Raw genomic sequence first — 26,732 nt, 5'->3', positions numbered from 1 at the left:
AAACCCATGTGTCATTCCGTCCTCCCCTCTCCCATTTTCCATAGGCTCACCAACTGTCTTGTAGAACCTTCAGCCCCATTCTATCCCCAGACATTCCCAATTGACCTAAAGTTACCTTCATAACATTTTCCTAATTTCTGGTGAGCCCCTGCACTGTCATCACACACATTGAGCTCTTACTCATCATTAACCTCATCTAGAACTGAAAGCTTCCACTTCTACTCTTCTGAGGGCCTCGTAGGTCCCTTTGCTTTTCCCCTACTTCAAGGGTACACTGTTTCCCTCATTGCTTCAGGTACCTTCCTCTGAATGGTGCACCCTCACTCCTACTCGGTGTGGACTTTTGTCATAGGTTTGAGTTCTGTATGTTCAGAGGCTTCATTTTCTCAGAGGTTGAGTACCTTTATTCCCAGGCTATGCCAACTCTTATGAGAAGACAGGCCCTCAAAATTGATCTATCTTCCCCAATGTATAGGCTCTTCATATTCAGTATCTAAAGTAGTTTTTCTTATTCTTGATTATTCTCTGAAATGCCCCTCTCCTTCCTCTCGTTTCACCCTCTGTGAAGTATCTGATCAGCACAGCCAGTCACAAGAATCATTCCTTTCTTTGAGTTCCGTAACATTCTGCTCTTCTGCCTCACATGTGTCTCTATTACCTCTTTGAGAAAGAAGCTCTTTCGTTGTATTCACCATGGTGCCTATTCTGAGGATGTTTTCTTGGAATTACAGCTAGCCAGAATCTTTATTTTCCCATGCATATATAGTAAGCTGGTGATGGTTACCTTGTGTCTGAGGGTAACTGTTGACCTGCTGTGTTGGGTCTGTCAGTGCAAGATAGGGCTAGTGCTTCTCAAACTAGCTTGCATAAGAATCAGCTGGAAAACTTGGGAAAACAGATTTCTGGGCCCCACTGCCAGAGATTAGTTCACTATGTTTGCAGTAAGGCCTGAAACTTTGTGTTTCTAACAAGCTTCTAGGTGATGCTGATGATGCTGGTCCATGGACCACACTTTGAGTAATACTGTGCTAGGCTAATCCTGGCTAATCTTGCCTGGTTGTCTAACACAGGAAGGCTTTCCTTATCATTTTAAAGGGAGGCATAAAAGCTATTACCATTGGCTGTGAAGCTTGATTAGTGGTTTTCTGATCTGTGTGTAGGAGAAGCATTGTTTTAATTCATGAGCTCTGCTCCTTAATTTGCTCTCTTTGAAAGTTCTCCTGGTAATTGCAAAGGACTCTTTAAATGTTTCATGTTTATTGAATTAAGCAATGGCCTTTATCTCAAGTAGTGTTTACTTCCAGGATCATTCAGATTATCCCCCTCCCCAAACATATTAAGATTAAAATGTAATAAGTAATTATTATTTTCCAGCCTGGGTGACAGAGCAAGACTGTCTGAAACAAAAAATAATAATTATTATAACAATTTCTATCATAGCAAAATACATTATCAAATATCCTTTAAATTGTTCTCTTAATAGTTAAAAAACTTTAATTTGACACTGCATTTTTAACTCAAGCATTGTTTTTAGTAATGGTGAGGTACTGATCATCTAAGAAAATTCTCAGGGAAATATGTCATTAGAAAATATAAAGGTAAAGTGGAATGTAAGTTAAAATTCTTGAATTAAACAGAGATGACTGTCTTCGTCCATTCAGGCTGCTATAACAAAATACCATAGACTGGGTAGCTTATAAACAACAGAAATTTATTTCTCACAGTTCTGGAGGCTGGAAAGTCCACGATCAAGGTGCCGGCAGATTCGGTGTCTGGGTGAGGGCCCATTCCTCATAGACAGCACCTTCTCACTGCGTCCTCACATGGTGGAAGGGGCACACTGGCTCTCTAGGATCTCTTTTATAAGTGCACTAATCTCATAAGGGCTCTGCCCTCATGACCTAATCACCTCCCAAAGGCCCCACCTCTTAATGCCATCACTTTGGGGGTTAAGATTTTAACATGAATTTTGGGGTGACACAGAAATTCAGATTATAGCTTTAACCAACAGAATTTTATTATTTAGATCATGATCTTTTATTCAAAACTAAGAAATTAAGCATTGGCTTGAAATGTGGTCAGAAAATTAATATGGTGTTGTATAATAAAATTAATAAAATCTTGTTTGTCTCGTGTTTCTCCAGCTCTCATAGCAACCATCCAGGTAAACGGTTTTGTATTTTCAAGAAGCATTCAGGAACTCTCAGGTAATCATTGATCTTTTTTTTTTCTTTCAATTGAAATATTGCAGTAACTTTTTAAAACTTGATGTTGGAGTGCCTGCTTTGGAAATGATAGAGTTCTGTTTATTATGTCCTTGGACCAAAGTTGGAGGGATAGCCTATCATCTCTGACTAAACTCTGTAGTGCCAAGCATTAAGATGAAACCTTCATGTATTTGCGTTTGTAAAATAACAAAAATAAGGTTCTCCAACCATATCTGAATAGAAGTAAGTTTATGAAAATACCATAATACTTGAAATCAATATATAGCCTTCATAATTGTTAATGTTTTTAGAATTAAAGTATATAAGTTGTTTACTGTACAGAAAAAAAATTGATGAATATTTCTAAAGGCATTGATAATTACCATTGGTTACACCACACACATTTAGCTCAGAATCAACTAAACATCTGTTTTTTTACATTATTTTGTTATCTTTTGACTCCATCTTCCTTTGTTAATTATTTTGCTCATGTTGACAGATGTTTGCCAGGCACATAGTACCTGGCACATAGTAGGCACTTGGTAAATATTTGTTGAATAAGTTAATGTATATGTTGAAAATGAATTATGTGGATAATGTTGGACCAACAGCTCATAGAGGAAATTTTTATTGTATTTTTAAAACATACTCATGTTAGGCCAAGTGCAGTGGTTCACACCTGTAATCCTAGCACTTTGGGAGGCTGAGGCGGGTGGATCACCTGAGGTCAGGAGTTCGAGATCAGCCTGGCCAACATGGCGAAACCCTGTCTCTACTAAAAATACCAAAATTAGCCGGGCATGGTGGCAGGCACCTGTAATCCCAGCTACTTGGGAGGCTGAGGCAGGAGAATCGCTTGAACCCGGAGGGCAGAGGTTGCAGTGAGCCGAGATTGCACCACTTAACTCCAGCCTGTGCAAAAGAGCAAAACTCCATCTAAAAAAAAAAAAAAAAATTATGCTATTTTTAAAGCATTGAATTCGAGGAATTAGAAAAGAGTAAAATATATTAGGTGTTACCTTTACTGAAAAATGCTTATAAGAATGAAAAGAGATTTAATTCTAAAGATGAGACTTCGATTTGATTTTTACCACATTATGGTCAAGCTCAATTGTATGCTTGGTTTTTAAATTAACTGTATGATTTGAAAGATCTGAGGTGCTTTTTTTTCAACTTGAGTGGATCTCACATCTGAATAGAAAATTGATCAAATTCTGTGTATGGGTCGGGTGCAGTGGCTCACACCTGTAATCCCAGCACTTTGGGAGGCCAAGGCGGGTGGATCACTTGAGGCCAGGAGTTCAGGACCAGCCTGGCCAACATGGTGAAACCCCGTCTCTACTAAAAATACAAAAATTCGCCGGGCGTGGTGGCGCATGCCTGTCATCCCAGCTACTCAGGAGGCTGAGGCACGAGAATTGCTTGAACCTGGAAGGCGGAGGTTGCAGTGAGCCAAGATTGCGCCACTATACCCCAGCATGGGCCACAGTGAGACTCGGTCTCAAAAAATTTTTTTAAAAAAATCTGTGTATGGACATAGCATTTTGTATTTCTATAAACAATTTTTTCATAATTACTATTTTGTTAAAATGAAATATTCTTTAGCTATTTATTGTGTACCTATCATGTATAATACAGCGTAGGAAGTCCTATACAGATGACCGTGATGAAGAAGGCTTGTACCAACCTTCAAGGAATGTACAATTTATTAAAGGGGTATGGATATAAGGTGTGAACATAAATAACTACAGTAATTCAAAGAGGTTTCTAGTAAGTGCAGTGAGAGATACAGATTTCAAAGGGGAGAAAGGTTTCTACTTACAAGAAGAGGCACAAGGGCATTCTAGTTGGAAGAAATAACATGAATAAAAGTTCAGAAAGGAAAATGCAGAAACTATACACATTCTCCGGAATGACAATGAATAACTAGGAGTAAAATTTGGATGAAGCACAAAGTTCATATAGCATAGTATTATATTAAGATCAAAGTTGGCCGGGCACGGTGACTCATGCCTGTAATCCCAGCACTTTGGGCAGCTGAGGTGGGTGGATCACCTGAGGTCAGGAGTTTAAGACCAACCTGGCCAACATGGCAAAACCCCATCTCTACTAAAAATGCAAAAAAAATTAGCCGGGCATGGTGGTGTGCGCCTGTAATCGCAGCTACTCAGAGGCTGAGGCAAGAGAATCACTTGAACCCGGGAGGTGGAGGTTACAGTGAGCCGAGATCGCGCCACTGCACTCCAGCCTGGGTGACAGAGTGGGACTCCATTCCAAAAATAAAAAAAGATCAGTCTGGGGAGATAGTTTTGAACTTAGATGCAGATTGTTGAATCCTTGAAAACAAGGCTGGGGAGTTTGGGCTTAATTTTCATTTGGAAGACATTGGGGAAGCCATTGATGTTTTGAGTAGAATCAAGGGTGCTGAAGGAAGATCACTTTGGAGGAGTATACAGGATGAGTTGTAGCTGCATGAGACACATAGGCTGGTTAAGGCTATTGTAGTGGTTAAGACTTACTTAATAATGCCCTGGGCTGAGGTGGTGGGGTGGTATCACATCATATTTAAGAGCATGGGCTTCAGAATCAAAGGGCTCCATTTCCAACCTGATCCTGGCCTCAGTAGATTACTGAAACTAATTCTGTCCTCTGTAAAAAGGTAATAATTGTAGCACCTATCTCTTTGGGTTGCCATAAGATTTAGATCAGGCAATAATGTCTAAAACCCTCAGACTGGCATAGAGTAAGTACTCGATAAATCGTTAACATCATAAAACGTTTGAAATATTGAATGTTTTACGTAAGAAGAAAGTCAGAGATAACTACAAATTTGAGCCTCAGTATTAGGGAAATGGCATCATAAAAGAGACTTTCCCCCTAAATTTCATGGGGAAAGCACATGATTCCAGTTTTATGAAGATAATTTTTGATGTGCAGGAGTTCTGGCTAGGTGTAAATCCACAACAGGTTGTTAAAACTAGAGAAGTAGCCAGGCACGGTGGCTTACGCCTATAATCCCAGCACTTTGGGAGGCCGAGGCGGGTGGATCACGAGGTCAGGAGATTGAGACCATCCTGGCTAACACAGTGAAACCCTGTCTACTAAAAAATACAAAAAAATTAGCCAGGCGTGGTGGCAGGCGCCTGTAGTCCCAGCTACTTGGAAGGCTGAGGCAGGAGAATGGCATGAACCCGGGAGGCGGAGCTTGCAGTGAGCCAAGATTGTGCCACTGCACTCCAGCCTGGACAACAGAGCCAGACTCCGTCTCAAAAAAAAAAAAAAAAAAAAAAACTAAAGAAGTCAATCCAAGGTATGCACTGGTTTCCTATAGAGGTGAAATATTTAAGTTTAAAGTATCTGATGAACTTCAAAAGTATATGTATGCTTTGTTAATAAACTGATAATTACAGGATTTTAAAACCTTCACATTTCTTTTCTAATTTTATCCTCATTTGACTAAGATACTAGATTGCAGAATCCACACACTGTACCTTTTTTGTTTACTGTTATATCTACAATACCTAGTAGTACAGTGTGGGTGAAGAAGGTTGTCAGCAAATGAATATTTATATATTTCAGTGAATGAATATTATATCCTTGCTTTGTAAGTAATAACTTGCACACATTACTTAAGTTGTTAAGGGAGACTTGGCTTTGAGTCTCTTGATGCCTAGCTTTCAGCAACAAGTTGAGAGGTGACAATTTATAAAGCACTAAATGTTAGCGTAATTTGAATATGGCGATGCCATTTTCTTTTCCTTTTTTTTTTTTTTTTTTAACATAGTCTCGCAGCTGGAGTGCAGTGGCACAATCTTGGCTCACTGCAACCTCCGCCTCCTGGGTTCAAGCAATTCTCCTGTCTCAGCCTCCCAAGTAGCTGAGAGTAGCTGGGGCTACAGACTCACGCCATGATGCCTGACTAATTTTTGTATTTTTAGTAGAGACGAGGTTTCACCATATTGGTCAGGCTGGTCTCGAACTCCTGACCCCAGGTGATCCATCCACCTCTGCCTCCCAAAGTGCTGGGATTACAGGCATGAGCCACCGTGCCTGGCCAGCGATGCCATTTTCTAGAGAACTATTTTAAATATATCAAGTTTATATAACAAAATTGGAAAATGACGGTTGTGGAGACTAAAATGCAAATCAAGTTAGTACATGGAAAAGTAATTATTGAGCTCATATGGATTTTCATAAATGATAAGAATATTTCTTACTGTCTTCTTTTTTTTCATAGGGGCATTACTCTAGTGTGCCTTAAATGTGATTTCCTAGCTGATTCTTCCGGCTTAGATCGTATGGCTAAACACTTAAGTCAACGTAAAACTCATACTTGCCAAGTTATAATAGAGAATGGTACGTATATATAATTGTGTTTCTTTGATTTTCTGATATTTATTTCAGTACTTTTGATCGGACACCATATGGACCCATGTATTAAATTGATAGTCTCACTCTTCATATATGCTATTGTAAATGTAAAACTCTTTTGATTTCAGTTTCCAAAAGTACCTCAACTTCTGAACCCACTACTGGGTAAGTTTAATTTTCCTTCAGTGCATTTTGCTTTGATGGACTTTAGCACTGTTGTATTTTTTAATGAATCATTAATATTAATATAAATGAAAAATATTAAAGTTTTTTTTTTTTTTTCTTAAAGCTGCTCATTGAAATAGATTCCTGCTCCATGGAGTTCATGCAACCTGGTGCAAGACAAGTTGGAAGTTCCTAAGTTCAAAGTTCTGAAGTATTTTCTCACACAAAGGGCAGTTAAACAGCCAAGTTTATGACACTAGCTCTCATTATTCAGCTCTTTTCAGCTTTCAGATGCCACTACATTGTTATTCCACCTTATCTTTGCGTCAGGTTAACATATCTTAACATATTTTTTTCTCCAGTTGGCTCTCTCCAAAAATGCCTTTTGTTTTTCTCTGCTATACTTGACTTGCCTTCAGAATATTACATTCCAGATAATATGACTGTTCATCTTTTTCTGTCTGTTTTGTCTGCTTTCTTAATTTCTTATAAGTCTTACATGTTTAGGTCAGATAACCATTTTTTCTTCATTCCTTGTTCATTACTGTTCTATTTTTCATATTTTTCAAATGAAGAAGCAACACATAAGTTTCAAAAAATATCCAGGGTACTCCTGGACAGTGTCCCCTTTTGATGGACACAACTGATACCTGTTCTTTCTTTCCAAGAAATGTGAATTATTTGACTGTGAGACGTCCTCTAGTTTGTGGCCTTCAGAAATCAGATCTTGGGGAGAGTCCCTTCCTACCTGACTGACCTCCCATAAGGCTGATGCTGATTTGGCCAGAGATGACCTCAAGGCCCACCAAATAGAGCACAACTTCCCATTGGGAGCTTTGGCTTTTGATCTTAAGCTTATGGGTCGATTCTAACCAAGAAAAGTCCATGAGATCAGTGCTTCAACATCCAGGTTGACGTTTAACCATTTTGGCTGCTGCTCTTTAATTTTCCTCTAGCAGGCATGCAGTCCAAGGAATATCAAAATTCTGATTGTATGGGAACCAAGGTTACTTTCTTGTTCTTGGATAAAGAAAATTTCTACAATTACAGTTCCCAAAGACACAGTTGTTCATGTTATTTAAAGTTTTATCCAGTATTCTAGGAATTTTCAGCAATACTAATATTCTCATTTTTAAACATTTTTTACATTTTATTTTGTTTTATTTTGGTAGCTTGGTTTTATATTGTTTTTAGATCAGTGCTTCAACATCCAGGCTGACGTTTAGCCATTTTGGCTGCTGTTCTTTAATCTTCCTCTAGCAGGCATGCAGTCCAAGGAATATCAAAATTCTGGTTGTATTGGGAACCAAGGTTACTTTCTTGTTTTTGGAAAAACAAAATTTCTACAATTACAGTTCCCAAAGTCAGTTATTCATGTTTTCATTTAAAGTTTTATCCAATATTCTAGGAATTTTCAGCAATACTGATATTCACTTTATTTTTTTTCTTTTTTTAAGACAGAGTCTTGCTCTGTCACCCAGGCTGGAGTGCAGTGGCGCGATCTTGGCTCACTGCAAGCTCCGCCTCCTGGGTTCACGCCATTCTCCTGCCTCAGTCTCCCAAGTACCTGGGATGACAGGCGCCTGCCACCACGCCCGGCTAATTTTTAATTTTTTGTATTTTTAGTAGAGACAGGGTTTCACCATGTTAGCCAGGATGGTCTCGATCTCCTGACGTCGTGATCAGTCCGCCTCGTCCTCCCAAAGTGCTGGGATTACAGGTGTGAGCCACTGCACCCGACCGATACTCACATTTTTAAACTTTTTTTTTAATTTTATTTTGGTAGCTAGGTTTTATATTGTTCTTAAATTTATTTTACTCTATTTTATTTTTCCATCACTTCTTTGTCCCAGATTCATGAAATTTGCTGATGTCCATTTTATGTCTACTTTTGAACTCTTCTCTTTGTGTTTGTTTTGTTCTTATTACAAACTCCAAGACATTTCTTAGAATTGTCTACAGATTTCGTGTAGCTACTTATTGGTAGCTTCTTAATTTCATACTTGTCCAGACCATTAGACATTATTACATGCTCTGTCTTGGGCCTATCATTAACATTAGCTTAGGGATTCTGATTTCAAAGACATAAAGAATTGGCAAAACTCTTCTTACAGAACTTAAAACAAGTTTTAAAGTTACATTTCTATACATCTAATACATAATACCTTCTTAGCCATTAATGTAATTCCTCTGGATAAAGATAATATATTCAAAAAATATTGGGACCAAAAAATGCACTTGTTTCTTGCTCATATATATATAGATGTATATTTTTTTTAATTTCTTGTTTGTTTATTTTGGTTACATTGAATACAGATTTGCTGAACAGTTTTGATGTTATTTTTTTAATAAAATTTGTATTGTTAAAGTGCCTTGGAAATTTCTAATAAATAACTTCATATAAAAGCTATCATATAACTATAGGAGCATTGCTTTGCTCCTAGTTCCGTGGAGCCTGATTGCTTGACCTGCAGACTGAAAGCTTTATCTGCTGAGCACATCTTGTACTTTTTCCTCCAGCACAGTTAAAAGCAAACTATTTACACTTTACTAATTTCTTGAGCAGCTAGCAAAAGCCCCCTTTGTGATCTTAATAGTCATGAAGGTGGGCAGGCTCTGAAGTCATTTGACTCAATATGGGTGTTTTTTAACTCCAAAATTAGAACTGGACCAGGTACAATGTCTCATGCCAGTAATCCCCAATACTTTGAGAGGCTGAGGTGGGAGCCAGGAGTTTAAGACCAGCCTGGGCAACATAGCAACACTCTGTCCCTACCACAAAAAAAAAAAAAAAAAAAAGCTGGGTGTGGTGGCATATGCCTGTAGTCCTAGCTACTCAGGAGGCTGAGGCAGGAGGATCGCTTGAGCCCAGAAGTTCGAGGCTGCAGTGAACTATGATCATGCCACTGCATTCCAGCCTAAGCCACAAAGCAAGACCCTGCTTTAAAAAAAAAAAGAAAATTAAAACTGCTTTGATATACTTTGAAACACTGAAAGCCAGTGTCATTGGCCACTGCTATGTAGTATACTCCTTGCAATTCATAGTCAGGAGTTGAATCCATTAATTTTAATTTTCCAAACAGATTTCTGCTCTAAATGATTTTCCCAAATCTCCAAAAGGGGCTTATGTCATAGTCGTGGACTTGGTAATCCTTTTCTTTCCATACCTTTCTCTAGGATGTTTTGTCAAACACCATTTTTCTACCCATTTTTTTTTTACTTTTTTTATTATGGTAAAATGTATGAAATTTGCCATTTAAAATCATTTTCATTCAGCAGCATTAATGACACCCAACTTTAAGTTTTAAACTTTTTCCCAGAAATAACAACTTATTTGCATTTTTAGCATTGGTCTTCTTTTTATTTACAGATATTTTCTCTGTCTCTATCACAGTTCAAAAATACAGAAAACCACATTCTTGCTATAGCAGTATTTTAGGTAGAGGTACAGTTTTGTGTTCTTCCATAGGATTCTGTTTCTTATACTATGTATCAAGTTATTTTAAAGTTTAATGCTCTGGAAGTTATGTGTCCCATAGCATCACTTTTTTTAAACTTTGTTTAAATAAAACTATTTATGCAGTCAGTACTAAGCTTACTTGTTATAAGCAGTTGAGTTTTAATAGGTGTTAGTGAGTTTTAGCTTGACAATCTGATCCCTCTTCACCTTCAGACTGTTAGTTATTTCACCTGATTCAGAAATAGCCATGTCATGCATGTGTCCTTTTTTGTTTTCAACTGAATAAAAGGTATGGTTGGCTCAGTTTCAGTCCATCACTATTATTATTTTTTAAAAAAACACTAAATGACAAAGACTTAGATTCTTGCCCTTCTTTGTGTCACATTTTGGCAAAACACCTCTTTCAGTCTTTTTTCTTTTTTTTTTTTTTTTGAGACGGAGTCTCGCTCTGTCGCCTAGGCTGGAGTGCAATGGGGCGATCTCAGCTCACTGCAAGCTCTGCCTCCCGGGTTCACACCATTCTGCCTCAGCCTCCCGAGTAGCTGGGACTACAGGCGCCTGCCACCACGCCCAGCTAATTTTTTGTATTTTTAGTAGAGACTGGGTTTCACCAGGATGGTCTCGATCTCCTGACCTTGTGATCCGCCCGCGTCGGTCTCCCAAAGTGCTGGGATTACAGGCTTGAGCCACTGCGCCCAGCCTCTCAGTCTCATTTATTCGGTAAATATTACCTACTATGTGCCTGGCACTGTTGTAGTTGTTGGAAATACAAACTGAAATCTCTGCCTTCATGGGACTTAAATTTCTGTGTTGGGAGACAGACAATAGAAAGTAAATAACGTATAGTATGTTAATGGTGATGAAGTCTACGGAGGAAAATAAGGGAGATAGCAACATACAGGTTGGTGGTTGAGAGGTTGCCGTTTTAAATTTGATGGTCAAGTTGGGCCTCCTTGAGAAGATGGCATTTGAGTAAAGACCTGAAGGAGGTGAGGAAGTGAGCCACCTGGGTATCTGTCAGAGGAGCTTTCTAGAGAGGGGAAACAAGTGCAAAAGCCCTGAGGCAGAAATTGGAACCCTCATGTATTGCTGGTGGCAGTGTAAAATGGTCCAGCCACTATGAAAAACAGTTTGGCAGTTCCTCAAAAAGGTTAAGTGTAGAATTACCATATGACCCGGCAGTTTCACTCCAAAGAATCCAAAGCAGAGACTCAGATACTTGTATATGCATGTTCATAGCAGCACTATTCACAATAGCCAAAAGATAGAAATTGCCTAAATGTCACCCACAGATAAAGGGATAAATAAATTATGGTGTGTTGCCGGGCGCGGTGGTTCATCCCTGTAATTCCAGCACTTTGGGAGGCCGAGGCAGGTGGATCACCTGAGATCAGGAGTTTGAGACCAGCCTGTGCAACATGGCAAAACGCCGTCACTACTAAAAATACAAAAATTAGCTGGGTGTGGTGGTGGGTGCCTGAAGTCCCAGCTACTGGGGAGGCTGAGGCACAAGAATCACTTGAACCTGGGAGGCAGAGGTTGCAGTGAGCTGAGATCACACCACTGCACTCCAGCCTGGGTGACAAAGCAAGACTCTGTCTCAAAAGTTATGGTGTGTCCATACAACGGAATATTTTTCAGCCACAAAAAAGAACAAAGTGCTGATACTTGCTACAGTGTGTATGGACCTCTTAAACATTATGTTAAGTGAAAGAAAACAGTCATAAAAGGTCATATGTTGTGTGATTCCGTTTATATGAAATATCCACGCAGGAACAGAAAACCAAATACCACATGTTCTCAGAGCTAAAAATGAGAACTCATGAACACAAGGGAACAACAACAGACACTATTGAGGGTGTTCATGAACCACTTGTAAGGTGGAACATGTAACGAGGCTAGCAATAATCATTTTCATGTCAGGCGTGGCAGCTCATGCATGTAATTCCAGCACTTTGGGAGGCCGCGGCGGGTGGATCATGAGGCCAGGAGTTTGAGACCAGCCTGGCCAACATGGCGAAAACCTGTCTCTACCAAAAAATACAAAAATTAGCCTGGTGTGGTGGCACACGCTTGTAATCCCAGCTCCTTGGGAGGCTGAGGCAGGAGAATCACTTGAACCCGGGAGGCGGAGGTTGCAGTGAGCCAAGGTCGCACCACTGCACTCCAGCCTGGGTGACAGAGTGAGACTCCATCAAAAAAAAGAAAAAACACTTGGCACAAAGCTAAAGTAATCAGAACAGTGTGGTCCTGCCACAGGGTAGAAAAAGAGAAGTGGAATAGAATGAGAGTCCAGAAATAAACCCACACACTGCACTCAAGGGTGGCAGAGCAAGGCTCTCAAAAAATCATTTTCATATTTTTGGAAATTATATCAGGAAAAATAGTATGGTCATTGTGTTCATAAAATCTAAGGAATACATAACGGACAGTCACTTTACATGATTTCAAACTCGAGAAGTTTCAGACTTAATCGTATCTAGCTTCTCTGTAACTCATGCTTGGCTTATTAATCTACCTACTTTTCTTGGAACTATTACTATTTTCAGCCTATTATCCATTAACGAGTTTCTTACTCTGTAAAGTCTTACTTCCTGTTTAAACAGCTTCAAGAGAGTGTCTTAATACTAGGATTACAAGGTCCAAGATTCAATACCTGACTCTGCAGTAAACCCTCTCTGCACCCTTACAGGTGCAGTGCAGTGGAGTGGTTAGAGCCCAGGCTCTGCAGCAGACTGCCTAGGTTGGAATTCCTCCCCTACCAGTGATTAGATTTGTGTGTGTGACTTTAGGCTCTGTGTCTCATTTTCCTTATTTGTAAATTGCATGTAACAGCATCTACTCAGAATTGAGGGAATTAATTGAGTTAATACAGTATATGTATATCCCACTTAGAACAGTGATTGGCACACAGGAATGCAATCCAACATTGTTACGATTATTGCTACATTGTGACTACCTTTCCTGATTTTATTTGTCTTAATTTTATTCAGATAGAAATAGTTCGAATCTTCACCCAGTTTTTCATTCCAGCCTCCTCACACCACCTTCACAATCAATGACTATTAACTCTCTTTTCCTAACCCAGTGGCTTTCTTGAGGGTCACTGTTGAAGCACATAGTACTAAAGATAAGCATACCATTATATTTCTTGGTTTCTCAAGCTCACCAGACTAATATTTTTAAGGAATGTCTATCAATGCTCCTGGGTTCACTTTAGTCGTAATTGTCATTTATAAATATTAGGTTAGTGCCAAAGTAATCACGGTTTTTCCCATTACTTTCAATGGCAAAAACCGCAATTACTTTTGCACCAATCTAATAGTATTAAGATATTTCCCCTATATTATGCTACCTTATACTTGGCCACACCATAGTTCACCTCATGCTCATACTCATATACCTCTCTTCTCTGATTTTGAAACCCTTCTGCAGTTTGATTCTTGTCAGTTTGGTATTTGACCACCTGAAAAAGCTTAATATCATCAACAAACTTGGAGAGGCTGCTGTGCATGACTTCTACTGTTTCTAATCCTCCACACTGAAAAATATCTGTTTGTCCATACCACTGTGATATTCGGTGGCTGGGGGGGCTGCTGAAGAGAGTGTAGCCTCGAAATAACAGTCCTAGGTTTCAATCCTGGTTTTGTATCTGAACAGCTGTGTAGCCTTGAGTAAATTACCTGAACTTGTTCAGTCTCAGCTTCCTCATCAGTGAGAGGCATGTAATGGTGATATTCTTGCAAAGTTGTAAGGAATATATATACACAAACGCTCCTCAACTTACAATGGGGTTGCATTATGACATACCCATCCTAAATTGAAAATATCATAACTTGAAAATGCATTTAACACACCTAACTTACCTAACATCGTAGCTTAGCCTAGCCTACCTCGAATGTGCTCAGAACACTTACATTAGCCTACAGTTGGGCAAACTCTACTGGCAACACAGTACAATGTGTTTTTGGTTGTTTACCCCTTGTGATCTCATGGCTGCCTGAGAGCTGTGGCTCGCTGCCACTGCCCAGCATCACGAGAGAATCTCCTAATGCATATTGCTAGCCCAGAAAAAAAAATTGAAGTACAGTTTCTACTGAAGGTGTGTGTATCCCTTTCACAGCATTGTAGAGTCAAAAAATCATAAGTTGGCTGGACGTGGTGGCTCATGCCTATAATCCCAGCACTTTGGGAGGCAGAGGCAGGCAAATCATCTGAGCCCAGGAGTTCAAGACCAGCCTGACCAACATGGGGAAATCCCGTCTGTACTAAAAATACAAAAATTAGTCGGGTGTGGTGGTGCACGCCTGTAGTCCCAGCTACTCTGGAGGCTGAGGTGGGAGGATCACCTGAGCCCAGGAGGCGGAGGTTGCAGTAAGCCAAGATGGTGCCCCTGCACTCCAGCCTGGGCGAGGGAGAAAGACTCTGTCTCAACAACAACAACAAAAGTCATAAGTCTGGCCGGGCACGGTGGCTCATGCCTGTAATCTCAGCACTTTGGGAGGCCAAGGCGGGAGGATCACAAGGTCAGGAGTTCAAGACCAGCCTGGCCAACATGGTGAAACCCTGTCTCTACTAAAAAAAAAAAATACAAAAATTAGCTGGGCATGGTGGCGTGTGCCTGTAATCCCAGCTTCTTGTGAGGCTGAGGCTGGAGAATTGCTTGAACCTGGGAGGCGGAGGTTACAGTGAGCCGAGGTGGCGCCACTGCACTCCAGCCTGGGCAACAGAGCACGACTCCATCTCAAAAAAAAAAAAAAAAAAAAAACTCATAAGTCAAACCATTGTAACTCGAGGACCATCTGTATATTATATATGTATAACGTTTGGCTCTGGCGTGACAGAGTAGACAATGAATAAACAATGCTGATGTTACTGCTACTCCTGCTGCTGCTTCAGCTGTTATTGCTGTTAATTCTGTTACTGCTGTTACTATCACTACTGCTGAGACCCTGGAAACAACACATCAGTGGAATCTTCTCTGACAGTTTTAGTGGCAATCCATCAACATTGTGGTTATTCATAACTTTGGCTTATAATTCCCAGGTCTTGAAGTACATTCCTTCAAACTGTCGGGTGGATGACATCTTATCACAGTGCTTCAATTACATGTGGCATAATTCTCTAATGTCGGAAATGAGCGTAGCTCTGGCTTTTTCTGTCTAAGGACTACGAAATGACACTGCCTTATTGAAAACTACTACGGAATCCTGTCTGCTCTGGAGGGAAGCATTCCTTTTGTGCTAAAGAACCCCTTCTTTAAAAGAAACTTCTTTATTCATTATTACCAGTAATTCACTTCCAGAAATAAAGGAATCTTGAATCAATGAAATCTTGGGTACTTATTCAATACAATTAATTATATGAAAACGTAATTTTTTTTTCTTTTTTTTTTTTTTTTTTGAGACAGGGTGTTGCTCTGTCACCCAGGCTGGAGTGCAGTGGCACGATCTCGGCTCACTGCAACCTCTGCCTCCCGGGTTCATGCGAGTCTCCTGCCGCAACCTCCTGAGTAGCTGGGATTACAGGCACCCGCCATCACGCCCAGCTAATTTTTTTTGTATTTTTAGTGGAGACGGGGTTTCCCCATGTTGGTCAGGCTGGTCTCGAACTCCTGACCTCAGGTGATCCACCCGCCTCAGCTTCCCAAAGTGCTAGGATTACAGGCGTGAGCCACCGTTCCTGGCCAAAAACATGTAATTTTAAATAGCAGTAGTAAAGTGTTCTTTCCTTTTGTAGGACTTTTAAAATGATTGAGAAATACCTTACTTTCTCAGAGAGTAGGGATATTTTCACTCAATCTTGAAATCGTCCTTTTCTGTTTTCCCCTTATCTCCATTTTTCCCCCTCGTCTATCTTCTCCAGTATGTTCTCCTAACTAGATTATCATAACATAGAATCGAAGGAAAGTGTTAAGTTGTGTAAGTGTTTTTCTTGATAAAATAACAGAAGAGGGTATTTCTATCTAGCAAATCTTCAGTGCCTCAGAACATAAGAATCCTTGATAAATTAGTAGATACCCCAAGCTTGGAAAACTCAGCTACTTAACAAGTTGTCTTATTGATTGAGTCAAATCCTTAAAGGCCACAATTTGAAGTAATTTCAAACAGTTGATTTAGTTCTCTTGGTAACTTCCAAGTGGCTTTGCGGTCAAGTTACCTCAGTTTTGAATAATTTAAAAGAAGGACATATTCAGCACAGCTTCATTTTTAAAACTGAATGATTGGGCGCTACATGAATGATCTTCCATTTTCATTCTTTACAAGTGTCCTTTATGTCAGGGGAATTGGATAAGGAATAATACACAAATGTTTATGCATAAAATACATTTTATATTTTATCTAAATTCAAGGAAATACCATAAAGGTGATTTTCGATTCCATTATGCAAATGCAGAAACTGAGGTAACATCATTCTGAAAATAAATGGTTATCAGGAAGTACTGGCTTGTTCATACTATAGAGCACCATTTTTCCTGCTCTGGTTTTAATCCCTCTTCCCTTCTTTCTTTACTGAAAGGTCTATACTATTCGAAGCTGACTTCTGATCTGTTGACAAGTAAACAATCCTTATCTAGAGACCTAAAACTTCGTTCTCTTCATAGCTGTCTTAACATGCATATGGCCATAGAAACCAGTGCACAATCACTATTTTTGTTGTTCAGAGGAATGGAGAACTGAAAAGGACCTTGGAGGTCATTTCTTCCCATCCTTCAAATGGTGCAGGAAGCTCCTCTAAAATACCTCTTTTTTAAAAGTTTCAGTTGTTCAAGCTGGCCCATCCGTTCCTAGACTTTCCATCCCCCTGCCTTGCCCTCCCCTCCTGGGAGGATGATTTGTTCCTCAGGAGCCTGCTCAACCCTTACCCCCACGTTCTGGGCCCAAGCCTGACCTAAGAATGAATTCAGCTAAGAATGAAGGGAATGAAGTTGTCGATCTCCGGATAAGGATTGTTTACTTGTCGACAGATCAAAAGTCAGCTTTGAATAGTACAGACCTTCCATTAAAGAAAATGCTCTGATTTGATTAAAACCAGGGCAAGGAAAATGGTGCTCTATAATGTGAACAGGTCAGTACTTCCTGATAACCATTTATTTTCTGAATGACAAATTACCTCAGTTTCCACCTCTGCAAAATGGAATTGAAAATCATTTTTACAGGATTTTCTTGAATTTCAATAAAATAATATCTGGCATCTAACATCAACTCCCATCTAATCTACTAGTTAATCCTAAATGAAGCAGAGATGGGACCATTAACTTCAGGCCCAGGAGCACATCCTCCTCTCAGGGTTGAGAGAAATAGAGAAAGATAAGGGAAATTAACATTGTGGTTCAGACCATTCAGTTCTAGTCTGCTCCAACACTTGCAGTCATGTGGCCTTCGGCAGGAAGCTTTGATCATTCTGTACCTCAGAGGGTAATTGTGATGTGAGGATTAAGCATGACGGTCCACATTAAGCATATAACATTGTACTTAGTAGTACACAGCACTCGATAAATGTTAGCTGCTATTAATAATTGTCATTATTTCGGTTGGAAGCATCGAGACTGAAAACTAGATGTGGTCTGATATCATCCTTCTCATTTGGTGATCTCCCTAAATAGACAGGGAGAACAACAATGCCTGGGGTACCTCTCCTTTATCTGAGGTGCCAGGGTTTCTACCTGGAATTGGTGAGTAGGGGTTAGGTCAGCCTGTTTTGTTTTGTTTTGTTTTGTTTTGTTTTGTTTTGTTTTGAAACGGAGTCTCACTCTGTCGCCCAGGCTGGAGTGCAATGGCGCTATCTTGGCTCATTGCAACCTCTGCCTCCCAGGTTCAAGCGATTCTCCTGCCTCAGCCTCCCAAGTAGCTGGGATTACAGGCAAGGGCCACGAGGCCCAGCTAATTTTTTGTATTTTTAGTAGAGATGGGGTTTCACCATGTTGGCCAGGCTGGTCTCAAACTCCCAATCTCAGGTGACCCACCCGCCTCAGCCTCCCAAAGTGCTGGATTACAGGTGTGAGCCACCGTGCCTGGCCCAGGTTTTTTATTTATGCTTGTACCTGAAACTTTCTCCAGTACTTTAAGATTAAATTCAGAGGGTCACAGTACCTACTTTATCGATGGGGAAGGGATTAAGTACCACCTATAGATTCAAATCAGGTTATGAGGTCCATTTCTCATTCTAGTTCAACTACATCATGGCTTAGGGGCCTCTCTCTATGCCCTCTGGTGGGTTTGTTTGTTTTTCTGAGACGGAGTCTTGCTCTGTCGCCCAGGCTGGAGTGCAGTGGCGTGATCTCAGTGGCGAGATCTCAGCTCACTGCAACCCCTGCCTCCCGGGTTCAAGCAATTCTCCCACCTCAGCCTCCTGAGTAGCTAGGATTATGGGTGCACGCCACCACACCCAGCTAATTTTTGTATTTTTAGTAGAGACAGGGGTTTCACCGTGTTGGCCAGGCTGGTCTCCATCTCCTGACCTTGCGATCCACCCACCTTGGCCTCCCAAAGTGCTGGGATTACAGGCGTGAGCCACCGCGCCCGGCCAATCCTGGTAGTCTTTAAGAGAGACCACTGGCCAGGCGCGGTGGCTCACACCTGTAATCCCAGCACTTTGGGAGGCCAAGGTGGGCAGATCACGAGGTCAGGAGATCGAGACCATCCTGGCCAACACGGTGAAACCCCATCTCTACTAAAAATACAAAAAATTAGCCGGGCGTGGTGGCAGGCACCTGTAGTCCCAACTACTTGGGAGGCTGAGGCAGGAGAACAGCGTGTACCCAGGAGGCGGAGCTTGCAGTGAGCCAAGATTGCGCCACTGCACTCCAGCCTGGGCGACAGAGGGAGACTCCGTCTCAAAAAAAAAAAAAAAAGACTACCAGGACTGCCTACCTACCCAGCTTCAAAATCTGTCTCCCTGGGCAGGTGAGGTGTTTCTCAATGTCTCCTCTCTGTCCCTCCCTTCTACCAGTCTAGTAGGTTTCACAGACTCCCCTTAGGAGAGTTAAGCCCTAGTGATTTGGCAGAGGTAGCTGCAGGGCACTCCCAGCCCATTCCCTTTTATGAGTAACCCCTCTAGTTCCAGGTGTCTAAATGCACAGATTGGGACCAGGATTAGCGCCTTCTGTTTGAGCGTCCATCCCGGGAAATGGTCAGTACTGGTCAGAAAAAAACTGATAAACTTTCCTGCCTCCTGCCTTCACTAATTAGTCTTACCAGCAGGAGGCGCGCGGCAGACATGTAATCTATTTTTTCTCACTCTCATCTTGAGCCTTGTGTCCAGAGTGGTTGATACTCAGGTTATACTCGGGATTAATCTTTGGTTGTCTCTTATAGATAAGAGGCTCTTGCTTCCTAGTTTCAAGGAAACAACCCAAGGACGTTGGGTATAACTGGAACCGTTTCACTTACCCTAAGTTTAGGGCCTGAAAAGATCCACTTTATCAGGCTGAGTTCCCTGGTTACCCAGATCGCCCTGGGGTTCATACAGCTGGTTTTGAAGCTCTGGCTCAGGAAAAGTCATTTCTGATTTTAGGGCTCACTAGGAAGCCTAGGGGTAATGACCCCGTCCCCACCCCACCCCCACCCCAGACCTAGAGGCACATCAGAATCAGCTGTGGACATTCTAACAATACAAATTAATTCCTGGGCCTGCCCCCAAGATCTGCCTGACCAGAGTGTTGGGGGCTGTGGCCCCAGGAGTCTGTACTTTAACAAGTCCCTCACTGGTTTCATGCTGTTAGCTGTGAACTGGCATTTGGGAACCACTAATCTAGGGGAATCTCTGGGAACCTGTCTCAGTCCTCCTGCCCCAGCACAGCCTCTTAGGGGCATAGAAGTCAAGGGGACTTGGAATCAGAACAAGGATTTTTTGTTTTTTGTTTTTTGTTTTTGTTTTTGAGATGGAGTCTTGCTCTGTTGCCCAGGCTGAAGTGTAGTGGTGTGATCTTGGCTCACTGCAACCTCTGTCTCCCTGGTTCAAGTAATTCTCCTGCCTCAGCCTCCCGAGTAGCTGGGACTACAGGCATGCACCACTACGCCTGGCTAATTTTGTATTTTTAGCAGAGACAGGATTTCGCCATGTTGGCCAGGCTTGTCTCGAACTCCTGACCTCAGGTGATCCACCCACCTCGGCCTCTGCACCCGGCCCAGAACAAGGTTTTAACTCATGTGGCTGTGCCACTTGAATCATGCTGGGATTTTCAAGGGACTTGGAAGTGGTTCAGGAGACTAGGGAGGCCCTTAGGGAGCAAGGCCCCTTCCAGTGAGGCAATGAGGGATGCTGTATAAAGGAGGGGCCTCTTTAAGGTAAGGAAGAATTATGTCCCCTCAGGTGTTACAAGAGGATAAATACTGACCTCTCTCTGCATCTGCTGGTGACAGTTGCAGAAGAAGCTGAGCCTTGCTTTCCAGGGATCTCTCAGCACATCTGTGTGCCCTCCTCTGCCCCCAGCACGCACTGAGGGTGGGCTGAGTCAGCTTCCCTCAAGGGGTGGGGGCTGCTCCAGCTATTCTGGGCTGGGCATCCTTCCCTGGCACTACTCTAGGTGGTGGTGCTCAGAGCAGCATCTGGTCCTGGGCTCTCTGATGGAAGGACCCTGGCAAGACAGTCCCCAGGCTGGATCCGGGGGCCTGAGCAAATGAGCAGGTATTGAGGGAAAGGATAGTTTGGGGGGCCCAGTGGCAAGATGCTGTAGCCCCAAAGGCAGGGCAGCAGAGTCAGCTGGCTGTGTGGTCCCCAGCTTCTGCCCAAGGCAAGGACATCCCGGAGACTCCTTTGGCCCAGAGTTGACATAAGTGTCAACCCACTGGGCTTCCTGGAGGTATCCAGTCTGCGGCATCTGATTCAGGGAGGAATGTCCTAGACGGGCCTCCTGGGTAGTGAATGTCCTGCTGGCCAGGCCCCCATGGGTCAGGGAAACTGGCTGGGGTAAACCTGGCATCCCTACAAGAGTCCCAGAGCTGGGAACTGGCTAGAAAGACAGTGTAATATCATAGAAAGAGCCTAGACTTGACGTGAGACAGATCCCCGTTCATCGCTTACTACATTGGACAAGTCACTAAGTCTCAGTGCATCCATGTTCTTGTTCATACAATGGAAATCAGCCAGGCATGGTGGCTCACTCTTGTAATCCCAACACTTTGGGAGGCCAAGGCAGGAGGATCACTTGAGCCCAGGGGTACAAGACCAGTTTGGGCAACACAGCAAGACCCCATCTCTATACAAAAACCATTTTCTCTTTTTTTTTTTTTTTATTTGAGACAGAGTCTTGCTCTGTCACCCAGGCTGGAGTACAGTGATGCCATCTCAGCTCACTGCAACCTCCGCCTCCTGGGTTCAAGCTATTCTCCTGCCTCAGCTTTCCGGGTAGCTGGGACTACAGGCGCGTGCCACCGCACCCAGCTAATTTTTGTATTTTTAATAGAGATGAGGTTTTCCCGTGTTGGCCAGGCTGGTCTCAAACTCCAGACCTCAGGTGATCTGTCCGCCTCGGCCTCCCAAAGTGCTGGGATTACAGACGTGAGCTACCACACCCAGCCAAAACTTTTTCTTAATTAGCCAAGTGTGGTGGCACACACTTGTGGTCCTAGCGACTCAGGAGGCTGAGACAAGAGGATCGCTTGAGCCTAGGAGTTTGAGGTTGCAGTGGGCCGTCATCACACCACTGCACTATAGCTTGGGCAACACAGCAAGACCCTGTCACTAAAAGTAAATAATAAAAAATTAAAATGGAGGCTGGGCGTGGTGGCTCACACCTGTAATCCCAGCACTTTGGGAGGCTGAGGTGGGCAGATCACAAGGTCAGGAGTTTGAGACCAGCCTGACCAACATAGTGAAACGCCGTGTCTACTAAAAAAAAAAGCAAAGACAAAAATTAGCTGGGCGTGGTGGTGTGCACCTGTAATCCCAGGTACTCGGGAGGCTGAGGCAGGAGAATCACTTGAACCCTGGAGGCGGAGGTTGCGGTGAGCTGAGATCATGCCACTGCACTCTAGCCTGGGCGACAGAGTGAGACTCCGTCTCAAAACATAAATAAATAAACAAACAAACAAATAAATAAATGGAAATCATTATCCCACTCCATAAGGTTGAAGGAGCATTAAATGAGCTAGTGAATGAATGTAAAGTGTTTCAGCGCGGTGCCCGGTGCATTATAAGCATTCAAATGTTAGTAATTATTTCTCCAGGTTCTTTGTCTGTAGCACAGGCAAAGTCCCAAAGGTACAGATCTAGATAGTGAAGGGGAGCCATAGAAGAAAGGCAGGGACCAACATGAATAGTTCCAGAGACACAGTAATGCCAAATGATGCTGGAGGCACTGTCCTTCCTTTGAATCCCTCCACTCCTCACCAACCTCACAGAAACAAGAGTCTCATGGTTCTCTGGCCTCCTGGGTCCCCTTCTACTGGGTATGCTGTGGGTCAAGCCTATTCCCATATTCTATCCCTCAATCTGAGGGAGGCCTGAGCACCATCATACAACCGTGCTGTTGCCATCATTCAGTTCTGGGGCTGCAAAAGAGATCTCACTAGCTATTTGAGACCGAACTGAACAACATAGAGAAACACCATCTCCACAAAAACTAAAAATAAATTATCTGGGCATGGTGGTACATGCCTGTAGGCCCAGCTACTCGGGAGGTGGAAGGGGGGAGTTGCCTGGGTTGAGAGGTCGAGGCTGCAGTGAGCCAAGATCGTGCCACTGCACTCCAGCCTGGGCGACAGAGTGAGATCCTGTCTCAAAAACATAAAATAGGAGGCTGGGCATGGTGGCTCACGCCTGTAATCCCAGCACTTTGGGAGGCCAAGGCCTCACTTGAGGTCAGGAGTTTGAGCCTGGCCAACATGGTGAAACCTCGTCTCTACCAAAAATACAAAAATTAGCTGGGTGTGGTGGTACACTTGTAATCCCAGCTGCTCAGGAGGCTGAGGCGGGAGAATCACTTGAACCTGGGACACAGAGGTTGTAGTGAGCTGAGACTGTGCCACTGCACTCCAGCCTGGGCAACAGAGTGAGACTCCATCTCAAATAAAAATAATAATAATAATAATAAAATAAAATAGGAAAAGAAAAGAAAACTCCCAGTCATGGCCCATAGCGCCCCCATAGACCTGGCCTTACCTATTTCTTGCCACTCTCTCCTTTGCTTGCTCTATTCCAGCCATCTCCATAGTAGCCCCCTTTCTGTCCCTCAAACACGCCAATGTCACACCACCTGCCTCTGGATCTTGACATTTGCTGTTTCTGCTGCTTGGGGTTCTCTTCTCCCTTTTTCTTTTCTTTATTTCTTTTTTTTTTTTTTCTGAGACAGAATCTCACTCTCTCACCCAGGCTGGAGGGCACTAGTGCGATCTTGGCTCACTGGAGCCTTCACATTCCCAGCTCAAGGGTTCCTCCCACCTCAACCTTCCGAGTAGCTGGAACTACAGGTACGCAACATTGCACTGGGCTAATTTTAATTTTTTTTTTCTAGAGACAGGGTCTCACCATATTGCCCAGCCTGGTCTTGAACTCCTGGGCTCAAGCAATCCTCCCATCTTGGCCCCCCAAAGCTCTGAGATTACAGGCATGAGTCATTGCACCTGTCCCTGGTTGCTTTTCTTCATTCAGTTCTCAGCTCAAGTGGCATCTCTTCAAAGATGTCTTTTGTGCCACTCCAGCAATATGTTACCCTCCCCCACGTCTGTCACCTTCAATTCATTTACCCTGTTTTGTGGCTCCCAGAGTCCTTATCACTCTCTCAAATGAGCTTATGTAGGGTCCTCATTTCTTGTTTAGTGTCTGTCTCCTTTAGGAGAGCAGGACTTTGTTCATGTATGTAACCCCAGGATTCAGAACAGTGGCACATAGTGGGCTCTCAGTGAATGTTTGTTAAAAGCCTAGGAGGTGGCCAGGCGCAGTGACTCATGACTGTAATCCCAGTACTTTGGGAGGCCGAGGTGGGCAGATCACCTGAGGTCAGGAGTTTGAGACCAGCCTGGCCAACATGGTGAAACCCCGTCTCTAGAAAAATACAAAAATTAGCTGGGCATGGTGGTGGGCACCTGTAATCCCAGCTACTCGGGAGGCTCAGGCAGGAGAATTGCTTGAATCCGGGAGTGGAGGTTGCAGTGAGCCAAGATTGTGCCATTGCACTCCAGCCTGGGCGACGAGAGTGAAACTCTGTCAAAAAAAAATAAGAAAGAAAGAAAGGAAGGAAGGAAGGAAGGAAGGAAGGAAGGAAGGAAGGAAGGAAGGAAGGAAAAAAGAATGAAAGAAAGAAAGAGGAGGAGAGGGGAGGGGAGGGGAGGGGAGGAAAGAAAGCCTAGAAGCCTAGAAGTTGTCAGAGGCAATCCTGGTTAGAGGGCTCATAACACTAGGAATGTTGTCATCCTTGGCCCCTGTAACTGAAGAAAGAGGCCTGACCAAGAGGGGCCTGGACCCAAACTGAAATGCACCCATTAGGACAGACAAATGCACTTGTAGTAACTGAGCAGTAGCCTAGGTCTGCAAGCCAGGTGACGGCAACCAAAAGGCGACACAACAACAGGTTGTGTCCTGAGCAAGGAGTCAGTGTCTGGAGTGTGAGACAAGGTCGTGGGATGTTCCATCTGGGAGAGGTATAGCAACCAGGCTTCCAGCACACAGCTCATCCACAGACAGTGGGAGCCCAGCCCTTTGGGGGAGATTCTGGGGCTGGGAGTTGGATGGGGACAACTAGTAAGAAAAGCAGCTCTAACTGGAGTGCTAGGCAGATTCCAAAGACTGAGATCCAGGCAAAAGTCAAGTGACGAGAACCAGACTGGGGGCTGGACTGAGTCTGAGGCCACTGGGGGCTGAACTGAGTCTGAGGCCAGAGGGGGATGGGATGGGGTGGAGAGGGCTGCAAGGATGAGCCAGGCAGGACTAGACAAGCTCTTTATTTGGGTGGGAAGAACATCTGGTGTGTGTTACCCTTCGCTGTCTAGGAGCAGAGCTCCATATGCCTAACAGAGGAAAGTGTTCAAGAGCTGTCTTCCCGAGACCCCCTCACAGCGGGATTCCAACAAGAGAGACCCCTAAAGGAGCACACCATCTTTCATGCAAAGAAATCCACCTGGAGCTATTGTAGACAAGCCTTTACTAGCCACTTTTAGTTACTTTCACAATTGGACAAGGAGCTTTCGTATCAATAATAAGACCAGATGTATGAGAAATAACTATAGGACTCTCCTGCTGGAAAACTACCAAGAGCTCTCATTGGCTCAGAAAGTAAGTCCGAGCTCGGTGCGGTGGCTCACGCCTGTAATCTCAGCACTTTGGAAGGCAGAGGCAGGCAAATCACCTGAGGCCAGGAGTTGAGACCAGCCTGGCCAACGTGGTGAAACCCTGTCTCTACTAAAAAATACAAACATTAGCTGGGCGTGGTGGCAGGTGCCTGTAATCACAGCTACTCAGGAGGCTGAGGCAGGGAGAATTGTTTGAACCCGGGAGGTGGAGGTTACAGTGAGCTGAGATCGCACCACTGCACTCCAGTCTGGGCAACAGAGCGAGACTCTGTCTCAGAAAAAAAAAAAAGTCTCCAAACTGTTCTGCCTGATGCACAAGCCCTTCCCAACCTCGGCTCCTGTTAGCACTGCTCAGCTCTCCTTGGGCCAGACCCCCAGTTGTCCTCTCTTCCAACTTCCAAGGTCATTCCTGCCCCCCTGATTTTGCCCTGATTTTGCCCGCTTCCCTCTCCTTTACCAATCTAAACCTTACACATTATTTAACAAACAAAACAAATCTAAGTATTTTCCTATGAGCCCTCCCTGATATTGAATACATAATGCTCTCACTTCCCATGGCACAACCTCACACTTGGTGATGTTGTTGTCTAGTTTTTGTTTGCACGTACTTTCAGTGTGTACATCGTTCCTGCAAATAGATCATAGGGTCTCTGAACATAGAGAATGTGTCCTCTTGTAACATTTCTTCCCTAGCACCTAGCAAAGGTCTGGGGACATGATAGATATTTGTTGCTTGAGCCCTGCCCATCCAAGAAAGAATGGGGGTGGGGGTCACAGTCGGAACAGCCTTAGGGTTCAAGACTGATTGGTGAAAAATGGGAAGCAGAATCTAACTATTCTGGAAGTAATTGGGCCCACTGGACCAACTCTCCTTTTTTTTTTTTTTTTTTGACACAGTTTCACTCTGTCACCCAGGCTGGAGCACAGTGGCACAATCTTGGCTCACTGCAACCTCCGCCTCCCAGGTTCAAGTGATTCTCCTGCCTCAGCCCTCGAGTAGCTGGGATTACAGGCATGTGCCACCATGCCTGGCTAATTTTTGTATTATTAGTAGAGACAGGTTTTCGCCATGTTGGCCAGGCTGGTCTCTAACTCCTGACCTCAAGTGACCTGCCTGCCTCAGCTTCCCAAAGTCTTGGTATTACAGGCGTGAGCCACTGCGTCCGGCCATACTTTTTACTTTTAAACTGGAAAATAGGGAGAGAGTAGTCTATCTGGACATTCAAGGCACATATCTAGGGAACCTAGGAAATACTGATGAGTCCACATCTCCTTTCAAGACTTCTCTATCACTCCACC

At 43.2% G+C, this 26,732-nt stretch overlaps 1 protein-coding gene across 2 annotated transcripts in view; it reads left to right on the top strand.

Annotated features, from left to right (window-relative positions):
* Positions 1–9,153, top strand: part of ZNF280C (zinc finger protein 280C) — a 66,193-nt gene extending 57,040 nt beyond the window's left edge. For both annotated transcript variants that reach the window (XM_006724765.4, NM_017666.5), the window contains 4 exons: positions 2,145–2,207; positions 6,445–6,563; positions 6,707–6,743; positions 6,868–9,153. In XM_006724765.4, the coding sequence (XP_006724828.1) occupies positions 2,145–2,207; positions 6,445–6,563; positions 6,707–6,743; positions 6,868–6,883 (235 nt within the window). In that variant the 3' untranslated portion in view covers positions 6,884–9,153. The remainder of the gene's footprint in view (positions 1–2,144; positions 2,208–6,444; positions 6,564–6,706; positions 6,744–6,867) is intronic.

The sequence above is a fragment of the Homo sapiens genome, chromosome X (genome assembly GCF_000001405.40).
Source record: "Homo sapiens chromosome X, GRCh38.p14 Primary Assembly".
NCBI lineage: Eukaryota > Metazoa > Chordata > Mammalia > Primates > Hominidae > Homo > Homo sapiens.
The sequence above is the reverse complement of the archived record's forward strand: the minus strand, read 5'-3'. Positions and strand labels throughout refer to the sequence as shown.